This window comes from Homo sapiens, chromosome 7 (assembly GCF_000001405.40).
Source record: "Homo sapiens chromosome 7, GRCh38.p14 Primary Assembly".
NCBI lineage: Eukaryota > Metazoa > Chordata > Mammalia > Primates > Hominidae > Homo > Homo sapiens.
In genome coordinates this window covers 78,144,838-78,162,814 of record NC_000007.14, presented here as the reverse complement: position 1 = coordinate 78,162,814, position 17,977 = coordinate 78,144,838, and the positions used below count along the sequence as shown (strand labels likewise).

The window sequence follows — 17,977 nt, the reverse complement described above, 5'->3', positions numbered from 1 at the left end:
CCCAGAACAAGCCCAGGAAGACCTTCGAAGTCTTCTTAACTTCCTGATTTTAAATATGCTCATTTGGCTAAAGATAAAGAACTTTGTTCTGGAAGTTGAAAGAGAAGTCCAAAGGCAATAGAAAAGTATCCTATTAATGTATATGACTCTTTGACTTACCCAGGGAATCCTCACATTGACTTAGTTGATGATTTTCTCTCTCTCCAGAACCTGTAACATTGCCACTCCCAGCCTTTTACTGCAAAGACAGATAATTCTTCTTTCGTTTTTGTTTTTTGTTTTTTTTTTTTGAGGCAGAGTCTCGCTCTGTCGCCCAGGCTGGAGTGCAGTGGTGTGATTTTGGCTCACTGCAAGCTCTGCCTCCCGGGTTCACGCAATTCTCCTGCCTCAGCCTCCCGAGTAGCTGGGACTACAGGAGCCCACCACTGCGCCCAGCTAAATTTTTTTTTTTTTTTTTGTATTTTTAGTAGAGACGGGGTTTCACCGTGGTCTCGATCTCCTGACCTCGTGATCCGCCCGCCTCAGCCTCCCAAAGTGCTGGGATTACAGGCGTGAGCCACCGCGCTTCTTCTTTCTTGCTGACTTACTGACAATCACAGCTCTCAACCTCCTAAAATATGACAGCCAGAAAATGAGATCTCTCTTGTCACTGCCTATGACATTTAGTTACTGGTTTGGTCCAATAACTCGAGGAGATTTTCAATTTAATGTAGCAGCATAATAATTGTTTGTTTTTGTTCTTCCTGACTATCCCTAATCACTTTATTTCCCACTTGTACAAGGACTGATAAAGGACATGTGATGCACCAAGACAATAACAACTTGTCCAGCAGGGAGGGTACATTTTACAAGCGAAGCTTTAAATTCCATTTGAACAGAAAGAAAGGCTTTGACATTGACATTCTGTTCTCTTATGACCTCGGTACATTTCTTACAAAAAGCATCCATCTTTTCCTTTATTTAAACGTGATTAATTAGATCTTAAAGAAAAATCAAATTTACCAAATAATAACGAGCAACAGCCTGGGTCTCATTCATTCTGTAATTGCAAACAAGAAATTAGTATATTTTGGTTAGGCCATTTTTTAAAATCTAAGTATATAAACAAATACAGCTTTTTTTTTTTCTTTTTTTTTTTTTTTTTTTTAGGTATCGATGTAACAAAACGTCTCTTGCAGTCTTTGTTTTTTCTCCCTGACTTTTTCATCTCAAAATGGAATTGCAGCTTGTAAGGTTAAGAGCCTTCATTGGAACTTTTGAAAATTATTTTTAATTTGCCATATGCAACAACTTCCAGAGTTCTACATAGGATGCTATACCTAGGGACCCAAAATGGAATAATTAATGGTGATTATTTTCCATCTTATTATTCCTCTGTTCCATAAACATCTTTTGAGTACACTAATCAAATTTTAAGATGGAAATGAAAGCAACCCTATTTCTAATTACATTATTCTAGGTGCCTGCTTCGGTTCTTTTCATCAGAGTGCCAATACCTAGGTATTAAATTAAAATGACGAAATTCTTTCTGGATGACAGATAAACTTTCATTTCAAAAACTAGCTTCTTTTGGCTGCCAACTTTCTATCATTTCTCCATGGAAATATGCTGGCTTTTTCTCATGAAAGTATTAGTTTGGTTTATCTGGTTGATAATAGGGTGTATTTTATATTAAGATGGACTGTAAAAATGGAAAAGACCTTCAACAGCTCCTTAGAGGTTCAAACTTCATAATTTCAGAGCCTGAAATTAGATTTGATCCTAGAGCAAGCAAGCTATTTTTTAAATGAAAATCTCAACTTATTTATTTATTCTTTTAAGCCACTTCATTGTGATATGGCTGATATACAAAAAGCTGTGCAAACTACTTTTAAGAAGTATATTTTCCACATACATGAAGTAAATCAATACTTCTAGGCTAGCAGAATATTATAAAATAGAACTATAGCTCTTTAGAAAAATGCATGATAGTTAACTTTACATGGATGGCACCTGTGCTGTTAGCCTTCCTTATAATACATCTACAGCAGCATTTCTCGAAGTGTAGCCTTGAAACTTGATGCAGATTCTTGTGCCCAGACCTACTGAGAAAACATTCTGTGGGTGGCCCGTGAAGATGTACTTTTTTTTACAATTTATTTAAGTGATTCTTATGCACCATATCATGTAAGATTCTACTTGTTTTGTGACCATCTTCAGTAAATTATTCTTATGCAAAGAAGAACCTCAATATCTAAAACTAGGCATTGTCCCAGGGGTTTGCAGTCCTCATGAGATGAAGATATAAATCAGTAACAGCACAGAGGAGGCTGATGAGGGGTTTCACCTCTGTTTGCTATGAAAACTAGGACTGAGCAAGACCTTGGGAGCTCCACGCCTAGGTCTGTAGCTTTTCAAATGCTCTGCAAATCTGGGAGAAAGAGAAGCAGTTCAACCAGTCTTGTAACAATACCACTGTCTAGAACAGTGCCTAGTACATAGGAAGCATTCATTGAGACCCTTGTAAGGTAATTGATTACCTGTGTGTGGTATATTTTGCAGGGGAGCCCTGCCCAGAGAACGGGAGAAGTCCAGGCTCTGTATCCACCCACCACAGCTCTCCACGCAGTGACTACGCAACCTACACCAACAGCAACCACGCTGCCCCCAGTAGCAATGCCTCTCCCCCTGAAGGCTTCGCCTCCCACAGCCTGCAGACCAGTGATGTGGTCATTCACCGCAAAGAGAATGAGGGCTTCGGCTTTGTCATCATCAGCTCCCTGAACAGGCCTGAGTCTGGATCCACTATAAGTAAGTGCTGAAATTTGCCTGCATTTGAATAAGGGGTCTTGTTTTGATTTGTTCCAGTGATACAGATACCGGACAAGTATATCAGAAGACTGTCACGGACATACTGTATAGCCTGAAAGCCACAGGCTGTGGGCACAAATAAGGCATCCATACCACTGACTAGCAGACAGTTACTGACCTCTGGCTCAAGAAGAAGGCAAGAACACAACTAATGCCCTCAACTCCTCCACCCCTATAAAAGCTCTTCATTCATTTGTAAATTAGGAAGAAAGGAAAACAGAGTGATATGGTAATGTTGCCTTGAAAGGAGGGGTGCTTCCTTTTATGGGTTGGTCAGGGAATGTTCTGTAAGTAACTTGATTGAGAACTGTTCAACAGAATAGAACCAGACATGCAAAGGATCTGCAGAAAAAAATCAGTCCAGGCAGAAGGCTTAAGGTGGACGCCAAGCTTGGCATCCAAGAAATATAGAGAAGCCCAGTGCAGCTGTAGTACGGGGAGCAAGGGAGAGTGGCAGGAGGCAGACAGTGCTGGCTTCATGTGCTCTTGGTAGGAAGTCTCAACTGTAGTCTAAGTCCATGGGAACCATTGGAGGGTTTTAAGCAGTGGACTGAAATCTGACTTATATTTGTAAAAGATGAGTCTAAATGCTTGTGGAAATTGAAACCAAAGGGTTGGGGGTGGGGGAGAAAGCAAGAGTGGAAGCATGAGATATAGTCAGAAGGCCATTTAAACATCCCTGTAGGTTCAGAGACACTGGTGACTTTGTAACTGCCCAATGGCTTCACATTGCCCGCTGCCTAGCAGAGCCAATTTATCAAGACGGGAATTGCGATGGAGAAAGAGTAATTTACGTAGAGCCGGCTGTGCGGGGAGACAGAGTTTTATTATTACTCAAATCAGTCTCCCCGAGCATTCAGGGATCAGAGTTTTTAAAGATAATTTGGTGGGTAGGGGCTTGGGAAATGGGGAGTGCTGATGTGGTTGGGTTGGAGATGGAATCATAGGGGGTCGAAGTGTGGTTTTCTTGCTGTCTTCTGTTCCTGGGTGGGATGGCAGACCTGGTTAAAGCAGATTACTGGTCTGGGTGGTGTCAGCTGATACACTGAGTGCAAGGTCTGCAAAATATCTCAAGCACTGATCTTAGGTTTTACAATAGTGATGTTATCCCCAGGAGCAATTTGGGGAGGTTCAGACTCTAGGAGCCAGAGGCTGCATGACCCCTAAACTGTAATTTCTAATCTTGAGGCTAATTTGTTAGTCCTACAAAGGCAGATTGGTCCCCAGGCAAGAAGCGGGTCTTTCAGGGAAAGAGCTGTTATCAATTTTGTTTAAGTCAAACCATGAACTGAATTCCTTCTCAAAGTTAGCTTGGCCTATGCCCAGGAATGAACAAGGACGACTTAAAGATTAGAAGCAAGATGGAGTCGGTTAGGTCTGATTTCTTCCACTGTCATAGTTTCCTCGGTTACAATTTGGCAAAGGCAGTTTCACCCTCCCCTGGGTAGCAGTAGAGGGAGGAGAAGTAGATGAACGCAACTTCTGAAGCTCCTCCAGCTCTAAGGTTCTATGATCCTATACAACAGGTGACAGTCATAGCCCATATTTGTCTTCCAACTGGCCACCTTTTCAGATTCTCAGGCTTCCTTGGTTGTTTTTCCTTTTCTACCACAGTCTTCCAGAGCTCATTCAGCAGCCTGCAAGCAGTAGAACAGAAGAGAGGATAGGAAAATTTGTGCATTTTTCATGTTGAAGTGATTTGGCCCAAAATGTTGGGTATGGAAACACGAAAATAAAGGAGCACTAAGAGAAAGTAAATAAATGCACGTACGTTGTAGTCCTAAAATTCTTATAAACTGTGGGAGTTTCTAGCACATGTGGGATAGGGGAGGGGTGAGTATTAAGCAATACTCAAGAAATAAAGTTGTTGAGAATGAATAAGAACTTTATGTGATAAAGTTAATGTTATCAAAAAAATAAAAATAAAAGAAAGAAAGAAAACCACCAGAACCTCATGGAGAGAATTGCCCTGTTTGGCTTAAGCCTTGATAAATTCAGGAGTGAAAACTACAGAAGCATTAAACCTCAGCGAATATGTGCAGAAGCCAAATTACATACATCTGAAAGTACAATTTCATTTCCCTTTTTCTTCATGAAAAGCTGAAGAAATAAATCCAATCTTTAAGCATAGACTAAAAGCAGAATTCTGTCAGTACGATGGATTCACCAAGATTAAAAGGATACAAAACTAAGGATTTTCATGAATTATATAAACAGCCTTCCAATAATTTACACTTGAGGAAGGTGTTCACAGAGAGATTTTGCAGCCATTCCAGTCTTTCCAATTGTTTATTGGGGCAGAATACCTAAAGGACTAGAATAAAAATAAAAAGTATATGGCCACAATGAAAGTGTTTAGCATGTAGTTAAAGTCTCAGCTTTGTTTGAAGTATAACAGCCTTATTTCTAAATGTATAGGGGAATGTGTGTGTGTGTGTGTATGTATGTGTACATGTGCACTTACTATGTAAAGAAACTACAAACACTTTTCCTATTGCAAATAAAATCCATGCATAAGTAGATTTGGAAAACAATAGGTGCAAATGCTTATAATTAACATGTGAATTTTTCTTCCTACCAAATGGCATCAGACTGACCTCCAAAATTTAATTCTAACCACTTTCAAAATGATATTATTTTACTTCACCCTGGAGAGTGGAAATATATCCTACAGTTCATGATGCTTCATGGCTTTTCTTCACATGTTTATTTCTTTTCAATTTAGGGAGTTTAAAATGCAAGTTGCCCCGTGCTCTGTGGCAAAAGCAGCTTACTCACTGATGGCACGTTGCATTTACAGTATGTAATTTGCAACATGCACCTAAAAGCTTCCTGGAGCTGATGCTACCTCATACTTAACATCTGTGATAATTTTGAATTCTAATTTTGAAGAGAAATGCGAAGTGTCTCGTGAATGGTAAAAAGCCATCCTTGTGCCACATATCCCTGGTCAAAATATCAAAGGTTTTGGGCTCTCTGAGACTGACCGAGGTTTATGCTATCAGGTACTTAAGAATCACGATCATTCCCAGAGTTTGCATTGTTTTACTCTTCAGGTCTTACCCGAGCCCAAGGATCATTAACATATTCACTGTTTTTTGTTTTGTTTTGTTTTTGTTTTTTGGGGTTTTTTTTTGGGTTTGTTTTTTTTTTCGTGGCTTCGGGAGCTTTTTCTTGGTGGACTAAGTGCTGTTTTGCTTTTGATAGGAGCATCATTACATTTAAGCAAGAAAAGGGCATGGTTAACAGCCCAGGTGCTACAATCATCCTATCTGGACTTGAAACATGGCTCTATCACTTACTAACCATGTGACCTTGAGGAAGTTACATGACCTCTTTGGGCCTCAGTTTCCTCGGTGTGAAGAAAAGAACACTTTAATACCTCAATCATGGGGTTGCCATGAGAGTTCGATGAATATGTGGAAGTGCTCAAAAGAGCACTGGCTCAGAGTAAGCACTAAATATGTCATTGCTGCTATCTAGATATCATCCCTTCTAGGAATTATCTTTCATTCCACCAGCTCACTCTTGTCGAGTAGTGCAGAGTTTACTCTGGCTATAGGTTCTGTTAGCCATTAGTCAGAGCCACCACTCTCCCAGGGCAGCTAAATCTGGGCCACAGATGAACATATCTCTGAGGGAAGCTTCCCCTCCCTGTCCCCTTCCCCACATGTGGCCCTTCTGGGAACACAGTCTTTCTCACTACCCACCAAATTACAGCCTAGGTCAGCAATGGGGGCAACTGGAGTACTGGTGGCCAAGTCAGTCCAGCTGAGGTGCCTTTGCTGAGGCTTCAGGCTAGAATTGCAGTTTTCCCTCTCCAGAGTTCACAAGCCAATAAGCTATAAAAGTAATGGAAATCATCGAAATTCAGACTCAAGGGGATGTCTTTTAGAATCTCCCTTGCAAACATGTTGCTATTAAATATTATCAGAGGAGAGAGGAGAGAAGAAGGACCCAAATGTAAACTTTCCCTCCCTATGGATGGAGATACGTCCATAGCTTCTTCAGCCAAGACAACAACTTTGCCAAGCACAGGTGATGCTCAGCTAATTGGGAAACTGGGAGTTAGGGTTTCTTACTTATTTGCTGGCATTTAGTAATGCTCTTTACCAAAGGCTGACAGATTTGTTTTCAAAATATTATTTCCCCAGGAAATAAGGAAAAAACTTTATATCAATCAATGTAATGAAGGAGCAAGCTGCTTCCTTCCGAGGTCAGTGACCAAGTAGGCCAACCATTGCATAGGAGTAGACAGGTTTTAGAAGCTTAGAAGCTTTCTATCTGTAGTGCAGGAATATCTTTTTGCTTGTTTGTTTGTTTTGTTGTTTTTGTTGTTTTTTGAGCCATGGTCTCACCCTGTTGCCCAGGCTGGAGTGCAGTGGTGCAGTGGCATGATCTGGGCTCACTGCAACCTTCACCTCCTGGGTTCAAGTGATCCTCCTCCCACCTCAGCCTCCTGGGTAGCTTAGACCACCATGCACCACCATGTCCAGCTAATTTTTGTATTTTTAGTAGAGACGAGGTTTTGCCATGTTGCCTGGGCTAGTCTCAAACTCCTGGGCTCAAGTGATCTGTCCACCTTGGCCTCCCAAAGTGCTTGGATTACAGGCATGAGCTACTGTGCCCAGCCAGATTATCCTTCTTGACTTCCAGTGAGAACAGGGAAGCATCCTGGGCATGTTGGTCCCATTATGCAAAATATTATGTATTTGTTTCAGACCTTAACATTGGGCCCAAGGGAAACTAAAGTGGTTTCCAGAACAAAGCCTTGAATAAAAATAAACTGTAATAGGCAATTTCACTTTAAATTCTTAAAAAGATTTGAACAAAGACTTATATGCAAAATGTTCATTGCTATATTATTGTTAAGCATAGAAAATTGGAAATAATGTTAGAAACTTCACCAAAACAGATAACTTTGGTGTATTTGGGAAGTTTGAAGCATTTTCTGCCATTGACTAACTGTTTTCATTCTCACTGAGGTCTGCATGCACAGGTTAGAGAAGACTCAGGTAGCCTATGACTCAATGGATTAGATGCTTGCTCTGTAAAATGTCCCAGGGGCTACGTGCAGTGAGGTTGTCAGGCCAATCCTTGGTCCTCCCTACTCAAAACCCAAGTCCTGACATCCAGGTTTTATTGTCCAGCTGTAGCACCTGTCCTTATAGGTGCTTCCTACCTCCTTAACAAACCTACTTTCCCACCAGAGGTTCCCAAGAAGGGCTTTGGTACAAGTAATGAAGTGGCCCTTTTCTATAATTTGAAAGTCTCCACCTTTTCTGTCACTTGTCAGGAGGTTATGCCGGAATATATGAGGTAGACACACATGGCAGCTTGGGTATCGGTGGTGGAGGTTGACAGGCTATTGAGGGAATTTCTAAACTTAGATATAGGATAACAAGCAGCAGGTTAGAACATATTCAGGACAGTGGTCATAGCATCAATCTAAACAGTCAGCAGTAGGGGAACAAACTTTTCAATCCTTCCTTTCTTCATTGGTGTTCCTCTAGTGGTGTTGATTTCATCTTCTGTCCCTATCCGCAAGTGCATCACTGGTCAGCACGCTGCTGGCTCCTCGCAATCCTCCAGCTCAGGACTGGTGCTGAAAATCTTTGTTTCCACATGTGTGCTTTCTCCAGCATGGGTTGAAGTTTGGACCTGGTCATTCTTGACTTTCCCTAAGGCCACTGCAATCTGATGCTCAGGGAAGGAATTAGTTATCTTTGATAAAGCACCCTGGTGAGTTTCTCGAAGTCCTTGATGATGTCCATAGGCTTTGGAGATTAAAACTTATCCTAGAGATTTTAAAACTTCACTAACAGGTCTTTTATGACATTTTAGAGTATGGTTCCTAAAAGGGATGAAATCAAAATGAAATAGAAGTGATGTGAGTTAGGATTTCCCCCACCAAAACTCACCTCACTAACCATGCAAACACTGAATAATCATTGAAATTAGAGGAGGCACAAAGTAAAACAAAAGCCAAGGTCTCTCTACTCTTGCCTCAAAACAAGGAGATTCAAGCTAAATGAAAAGAACATTGGACAATGAGCCCAAGGCTCACTCCAGCTTGTCCACCAAATATTGTATCCCTTGAGCAAGTCACTTGGTCTTCCTGTGTCCTTTTGTCATTTAAAATATAAAAGAAGATGGTCTTTACATCCTCTTCCAGCTCTAAATTACATGATGCCAGGAATCAGCATGGAAAATAAGGTATTAAGTTAGTTTTGTTGGTGTGTAAAAAAGTATTGGGTAAGTTTGAGGCCTAGATCATATTTTTCATTAGCTAAGCTATCATTTTAACTTTTATTACTTTTACCTTTGATTACATAATGAAAATGGCTCCTAACACTTTGAGTTCTTTTGTTCGTCTCAACCTCTGTCAAGAAATTATCTTAAACAATCACTTAAATACACTAACCCAGCTCCCCTTTCAAGGCAATATAAGGCAGTGTTTTTTCAACCTCCTTCACTTCTTGGCACACTTGTAAATTGATGGCATTTGTATAACAAGCTGAGATAAAACGAATGAGGCTGATGGCAGCAAGAGGCAGTCCCCCAGGAGGCTCTACGCCTGGTCCTCACCAAGCTCACCCAACCATCCCCAACTGTCTTGGCACACATGTAACATTTAAGGCACGCCCCTTTCAGTGGCATCATGTTTACAAAGCTCTGCCTTACAGTAAATCCTCCAAATAGCAACCAATTAGCCATTCATTTTAGGTTTTATTGGGATTTGGGTTGTGGCAGTGAATTTTCTTCAAACCTCCATAGTGAGGTTTGTTCATTGATTGCCTTAAAAACACAGGTAATAGATGCAACTGGTGCTTATCCTAGTGCCTTAGCCTTCTCTATGTCATTATAAACTTTGACCCATCAATGTTCCATCTCCGAAAGTCATTGCTAGAGCTACTGAAATACCCACACTGTTGAACATAGGAATTAGAAAGTGAGTCTCATTCATTTCTCTATTTCTCACTGGTTTGCACAAACAAGTTCCCTTTCAGAGTTCTTAACCAGCTTCTCAACATGTAATGTTCTCTTATTCCTTAAATGAATCCCTGCTTTGGATTCCTTCAACAACACAAATGCTTTTACTGTGGGCTTTGATTATGCTGAGAGTGGCTCACTCAGGAGGCACAGTGGTGTCACCCACAATATTACTGTGAGTGCTTTCATAGCAGAAGAAATAGTGGGGTGGGGAACCTATATAAAGTACTGGTTTTCCCCTCATGTATCTGGCTTCTAATATAACTAATTGAAGCCGAAGATAAGCACATATCCTCAAAATCTCTGGGAAAGCCTACATATACAACAAAGATAAGACTGTATTCATCATCTATGCTGATATAATATGTTTTCAGTCAAGTAAGTCTTTTCACATTTATTATTGTGACTTAATTTCTGTTCCATGAGGTAGCCAGGGGCTAAGGGGGGAGTGGTAGATCGTTGCTAATGATACAAAGTACATCAAGAAAGACCACACTTTCTACATACAATCCAGTCCTCCTGTACCAAGTCCTTGACCATAACACTCCTGATACAAATATCTGCAGGATAAAGCTTAAACACATCTCTTGTCCATTCAAGACCCTGGGGCATCTGTTTTTGCCAGCAGCTCCTCACAGGTTCCATTCCATCAAAGCTGGTTCAGTTATTTACCCTGTCCCAGAGGCCATGTTTTGCCTGTTGTCACTTGGTATGCTTCTCTTATGCAATAATATTTTGTATGAAGGTTTCTCCCAGGCACTGTGCTTGGAATCTTACACCATATTTAATCTTCACAGCACCCCTAGGAGGTGGAGACTATTGCCCAAACAGTAAACATCGCCTATTGCTTACTGCTTCCTGACTTCCCTTCTTTTATTGTGTCTGTTATTGCTATTATAGTCATTTCACTTTTCATGTGTTTTTGTTTTGCTTTCCCCACAAAAGTTGTGAGTTGCTTAAGGGCAAGAAATGGTGGCATTTCTTTGGATCCTTCACAATTCCTGATAGGTTTTTTTCAAGGATTTTCATGCCATTTATGTCGATGGGGCTGTATGCTTCTCATACAGTGATCCAGCGCAATCCTCATCAAAAGGAAGACTGTGACTGGTGCTCTGTCCTAAGTTACTCCGCACCCAAACCTAGCTGTTTCATCTCGCAAAGGTAGCGTGACATATTTTTGACAATGGGCGATGCAGTAGAGGATCACTTAGGGGAGGAATTACATGAAAGCTGGTCCTTGGCCAGAGTGAGAAATCACACGATAATAAAGCAGAACCGGAGCAATGTCCCAGAATACAGAGTTGCCATCAGTTGTTCTCAGCCTGGGTAAATGATTCAGCAGTCAGCCTGGGGCCTGGTGAATGAAGACTCAGATGAGAGAGCACCCTAACAAGTCAGGGGTAGGGAAGCTGTCTTTTTGCCTCTGGCCAGCCCCGGTCATCTTACATTTCTTGGTTGCAAAACCCTTGTTCTCCGAAGGGCCAGGCAGTGGCCTTAATGTGCCCCCTGATTCACCTCTCCTGGAACCAACCCTTGGAACCGTCATCCATCTGTGTGAGCACCACCTCAGCAATAATTATATAGTCCTAAATAGGAGGATTTGGATGGCATCCCAGACTCCTTAGAAAAAAGTATTACTTCAGATTATTTATTCACTTACAATTCTCATTAACAAAGCAACCCATTTCAGTTCCAACTAAACAACTTCTGTATCACATTACTCCTTTATAGGATTGTACTCACTGAGGTCAGAATGAATAGGACCTATTTATTCAATTCCGCTTTTTCAGTCCTGAACATGACTAGTTTTTTTTCCCAAATTACAACCTGGCCGCCTGGTTCCTACTAGTAAGCAAACAAGTGCAAATATATAAATATAAATATAAATATAAATATAAATATAAATATAAATATAAATATAAAGCATCAAACTCCAAGTCCCCTGATACCGGAACACTGAAGCATTTATGAAGTAAAATAGAAAGACAAACGCAAACATTTTACTCTGCTAGCACTAACAAATTTAAGGATCTTTATATTGTAGAATAAGTCTGCAGAGAACACCATCATTCTTATTTATCCTCAAAAAGAGGAGCAATACAATCTATCAAAAAAATCTGTGTGTTCACAATGCATTTTCTAAAATTCTGGACTATTTTTCTTACTGTTGAATAGACCTCATAAATCATGTTTCCCCCACTAGGGAATCATTTTTCAGGAGAGTTCTTATTATTGTGTTCAAAGACTCCAGGCAGCAGCATAAGGTGGATATCTTCTTACCTTTAGCTATTCAGTTGCCTTGAAAGCTCATAAATGGGTGATCAGTGGCCGTTTCCTCTGGGCTTATGTCCTGCAGCTCCTTCTTATTCACTAGATAGTACAGGGAGATTGCAACTGCGAAGAGACCCCAGGCATCATGTACAGGATGATCCTCTACCAATGCAGGATGCCCATCACTCTCCCACATTAGGTTCAAGTAAATTCAGAGCCCGCAGGGCACTTTTGCAAAAGACAGTTTTTCTTTATACTGCATTCAGGGCCTCATGGTGGATTAAGCTCTCTGTGATTTTTTATTTTTCTCTTTCTTCCCAACAATCAACTACATAAGAAAGTATTTCAGAGAAGGGTCCTAATGAAGCTTGTTCCACATGTGGAACCATTTTAAGAGCAAATTGTTAAGTGAACACAGTACTGTTATTTATCACCCTTGTCCAGTCATGTTGAAAGGGTATTATAAGGGGATATTTTTCCCATTTGGCCTGGGATAAAATATTTCTTTTTGATGTCCAGTTTCCATCAGGAACTTAGGGAGTGCTTCTACCGAAACTCTTTCCTACCACACCAAATCTTGGTAAAAGATTTTTTATTTGTGCATTTGACCACCAATAATTTTGCAATTGAAGCTGGATTTGTTCCCAACCAAACTATTCTGAGTACTTGGTTGGAATCATTTCTGCAGATTAATCAGACAGCCTTTTCTGGGTGATGAGTCAGATCACTAGGCATTCCCAAGGTTTTTGCAGTGCCAGAGAAAATCAACTAAATAGTGGAGTGTGCCATTGCCATTTTCATTTTTCAATCTGACCTCTCCAAGATCTTGTTTCTCTAAGCCAGGCAAGGGTTTGCTCTACAAAAATGGCCAGATGTTGGGTACCTGATGAACCATCTGCTTTCAAGAGTGAAGTGCCTAAAACCTTCTGTTATAAGTCTGTTCATCATAAAGATGTATACTTACGGATTCATCATGAGAGGAGGGTCTTCCAGAAAGCAAGAAAGAGCACATGTAAAAGGTTTTGTTCTTATAGTTTTCTGGCACAGAGCAGTTGAGATAACATGAAGTAGAAGAATAGTTCAACTTAGAAATCTTCATTCAGATGTTTATTAGACTTGCTAGATGAACAGCAAGATGAAAAATAGCCACATTCTTGTAGACGCTTGACAAAATTGAAATACAATAAAACCTGGGTGCCAAATTAATCACTGATATTGATGCTTCCTGGTGCTAAGTCACTCTTAGCTTTAATCGATGTGTATGATCACAAGCTTTAAAGCAGACCTCCAGGTACCTACATTCATATCCTAGCGGAATTTATACACAATTATATTTGTCACTCTTGAGCAATGAAGGCAAACTGTTACCCAAACATGCTTTCCAGATATAAGACGGATACATTAGGCATTCCCTACCACCACTGCTAATGCCTTCCTTAAGGTTCTAGGTTAGCACTGTGCAGCAGAACTTTCTGCAATATGGAAATGTTTTATCCTGCACTATACAACATTATGGCCATTAGCCACATGTGGCTGTGGAGCATTTGAAATGAGGCTGGCATGACCCGGAATTTAATTTTTTATTATCTTTGATTTCAAATAATTAAATGGCCACATGATGCTTGTAGCTACCATGTTGGACTGCACAATTCTGGAGTATTATGGTGGTCTTTAAATTACTTCCCTGCCTCCAGCCTAATTCCCACTCTCCCTATGCTTCAGTCTACCCTTCATACTACCTATTATCATCAGACTCATTCTAAGACGAGTCTGATGATCTCACTTAGCTGCCATAATCCATTAGTGGCTCCTCAATTGGCTATAATATAAATTCCAAACCCCTAGCATAGACATTAAGACCTTTCATGACCTGGCTTTCCTTCTTTATTCCAGGGCCCACTGATGTCTGTGCTCACTGCACTCTCACCCCTCACAACACAGACACTGCTAATCCACAGATCTGTGTCTTTGCAAGTCATACCACTGTGACTATGCTGCCTGCTTCCCCTAACCTTGACCACCTGGCAAAGTCCTGTTTGTGTTTTATGACTCAGATTAGACAGGATTTCTTCTCTGAAGACTTCCAACCCTTACACTTTCCCCTGCTCACCTCCTGTCTCCTAGTTATTCTACATCAGTTCCTTTTTACTTATCTCTATTTATTTCCATCCAAAACCTCTTATCTCCTTCTGCTTTTTCACTTTTCCCCCTATTTTAAAGGTTTAATTTCTATATAGTAAAGTTTACCCTTTTTAGTCTATACTCTGAGTTTTGACAGATGTGTTTAGTTATAACTACTGCTGTAATGAATCAGCTGTTCACCCACTCCCAGCCCTGGCAAGCACTGATTTGTTTTGTTCTAAAGTTTTGCCTCTCCTATATAAATGGAATGATACAGCATGTAGCCTTTTCAGTCTGGCTTCCTCCACTAAGCATAATGCATTTTAGATTCATCCATGTTGTTGCATGTGTCAATATTTGTTTCATTTTCAATTGCTGAATAATATTCCATTGTATAGACGCACCATAGTTTGCTTATCCATTCCCTAGTTGAGGGGCATTTTGGTAGTTTCCTGTTTCTGGTGATTACAAATAAAGCTTCTATAAACGTTTTCATATAGGTCTTTTTGTGTGTGGAAATTGGTTTTATTTCACTTGGTAAATATCTAGGTGTAGGATTGCTGATTCATATGGTACCAATTTCCAAAGTGGCTGTACCATTTTATATTCCATGTGTGAAGGCTCCAGATGCTTCCTATCCTTGTGAGTACTTGTTATTTTTAGGTTTTATGGTTTTTTTAATGTTTAGCCATTCCAATAGGTGCATAGTAGTATGTCATTTTGGGGTTTGGGGGTGGTTTTTTTTGGTAGAGATGGGGGTATCCCTATGTTGCCCAGGCTGGTTTTGAATTCCTGGGCTCAAGCAATCCTCCTGCCTCAGCCTCTCAAATCATTTTGGTTTTAGTTTGCGTTTTTCTCTAAAGACTAATGATATTGAAGATCGTTAGTGTGCTTTTTTCCATCTGCATATCTTTGCCAAGGAGTTTTTTTTCACTTTTAGTCTCTTCCCCCTCCAGTATAATTGGCATTTCATTATGGACAACAAAACACGTTTTGAATCTCTTCAATCCTTTTTTATTTCCCATTCATTTCTTACGTTAGCATAATAAAAGTCATTTTGTGATGATAGTCTCAAATAAAATTATGGAAATGTATATTTGCTTAGTAAAACTGAAAACACATATAGTTATAACACTTTAAAATATAAGTCATGAGAGAAAGTACATATAAGCAGAAATCCAAATGAAGTTAAAATGTACAATACTTGGGTAAGAAAGATAAGGATAAGAAAGAGAGACCACATGTGGTGATGGTCTCACTTTTCAAGTCCGGGAACTGACATAATTTATTTGACCATTCAGAGGTCACACTGCAAGTTGTTTTCAAAGTTAATATATGATCAAGATCTTCTAGCTCCTGAACACTTCGCTTGAGGGTCTGTTCATATTTAATTTTATCCAGTCATGCGAAATTGCATTCTTTCAGGTTAAAACATACTGTATACACTGTTAGTGGAACTTTGGCTTGTATGTGTAACTGGAGGGCCAATAAATATTCATGTAATCTTCTGGATAATATATTGAAAAGGACAGCTGGCTCAGGAGGGATCATTTGCCTGGGTTAGTATCTGTTTCCATTTATATTAAGAAAATATTGCAAGAAGTTATTATCTGCCGGAGGGCTTGGGGGAATTCAGTGGAAGTCTGATATTGCATCTGATCACTTTTGACATTTACCTATTGTAACAAGGAAACTGTGTGAAGATAGCCAAGTGACTTTTTACAAAACACAATTTCAGAAGCTATAAAAGGAAAAAGGAGATGGCAGAGATAAAATACACTGGATCTGTAAAAATGAGAAACATGAGTTGTCAGCAACACCTGCTTGTAACTATCAACCATTTCTATTGGGCCTGCTGAGAAGTTACTCAGAGCCAAGTACATTGATGGGTGTGAAAAGTGCTTCAAAGGTAGTCAAGAGACACAGAGGAGAGAAAGAAAGTGTAGTTTTATTGAACATTTTTAACCCTAAACCTGAAGTTGATGAAAGGTAATTTTATGACACTTTCTGAATACTTGAAAAGAAACAAGTTGTCCTTTATGTTTTTATCTCTCAAGACTACAAGTGACAACAGGGCTTTTAAACGTTGGGTACATAAAACTTTAATTTTTTTTCCAAACAGATTCCAAATCTCTAACTGGGGCACCAAAATATTGATTGCAAAAACTGATTAAAAATTACTAAAGATATTTCTAATTTCTAATTGATAGTAGTAAATTATAACTACTTGGGGTCTCATTTCTTAGACCCCAAGTAGTAATAGTGAATGAATGAGAAAAGGAGTGGGCAGGAGTGGTCAAGATATTTCAAAGACAAAAAAGTGACAACTCAGCAGGGCAGAGAAATCTAAAACAGATATGAATAACACAGACCCACTCATTTCTTTAGAAACTCAGGGAGGCCCAGAACCTAAAATACTCGGGACAGAATGGAATAAAACAACCATGAAATTTTTATGTTTAAAATAATAAAGCAAGCAAATATGAAAGAAATGAAAGAAAATAAAAGAAATAAAGATAATTCAGGGAAGAAAAGAAAGCTTCAAAAACTTATTTATAGCCAAAAAATGATATGATATTTACTACAAACTGACTGTTTGTGTCTCCTGCTCCAAAACCTATATGTTGAATCCCTAATTCCCAATGTGATGGTGCTTGGAGACGGGCCTTCGGGAGATAGTTAGGTTTAGATAAGGTCATGAGAGTGGTACCCCAATGATGGGATTGGTGCCCTCATAAGAAGATGAAAAGACCAGAGCTCTCTCACTCCAACATATGAGGATACAGCAAGGAGGTAGCCATCTTAGTCCACTTTGTGCTGTTATAGTGGAATACCACAGACTGGGTGATTTACAATGAACAGATATATATTGGTTCACAGTTATGGAGGCTGGGAAGTCTAATATAAGGTGCCAGCATCTGGCAAGGGCCTTCTTGCTGTGTCATCCCATGGCAAAAGGAGGAAGGGCCAAAAGAGAACAACAGGGGGCCAAATTTGCCCTTTTATAATGGTACTAATTCTACCATGAGGGCGTAATCCTTATGACCTATAGGAGAAGCAGCAGACCAATCCGGGATGCCAATATCTAATGAGAGTTGCAGAAAGAGAGACCAGAAAAACAGAATGGAAATTATCAAAGAAATAGTATAATAAAGGTTCACAAAACCAAACTAAAGGAAACAAGTCTCCATACTGACAAAGAACCATACCAAAATGCACCATTGCAATAATTCAAAACAAAAAAAAAGTACAGGGAAAAATCTTAACAATTTTCAAAAAGAAAAGGTAATATAAGTATATCACATACAAGGAGCAAAAATCCTAATGGGTTCAGGCCTCTCAATAGTAATGCTGGATGCTAGAAGACAATAAAGCAGTGCCTGTAAGTTTCTGAAGAAAAATCATTTTTTCAGTCTAGGAGTTTCATACAATCTAGAATTCTAAGCCAGAATTCAATCAAAAGAAGGTAAAAATAAATGTATTTTCAAACACTAAGAATTGAAAAATTGGTTTTTTCCCTGCATAATTTCTTAGAAAGCTGCTGTAGGATATGCTTCAACAAAATGAAAGAGTGAATCAGCAGGAACAGAAAACCAAACACCGCATGTTCTCACTCATAAGTGGGAGTGGAACAATGAGAACACACGGACACAGGGAGGGGAACAACACACACCAGAGCACATGGGGGGCAGGGGGGCAAGTGGAGAGAACCTAGATGATGGATCAATAAGTGCAGCAAACC

General features: G+C 39.7%; 1 protein-coding gene across 15 annotated transcripts in view; it reads left to right on the top strand.

Annotated features, from left to right (window-relative positions):
* The window catches only part of MAGI2 (membrane associated guanylate kinase, WW and PDZ domain containing 2), a 1,436,613-nt gene that overhangs the window by 1,290,853 nt on the left and 127,783 nt on the right, over positions 1-17,977 (top strand). For all 15 annotated transcript variants that reach the window (XM_047421093.1, XM_017012845.3, NM_001301128.2 and 12 more), the window contains one exon: positions 2,542-2,790. In XM_047421093.1, coding sequence (XP_047277049.1) covers positions 2,542-2,790 — 249 coding nt within the window. The remainder of the gene's footprint in view (positions 1-2,541; positions 2,791-17,977) is intronic.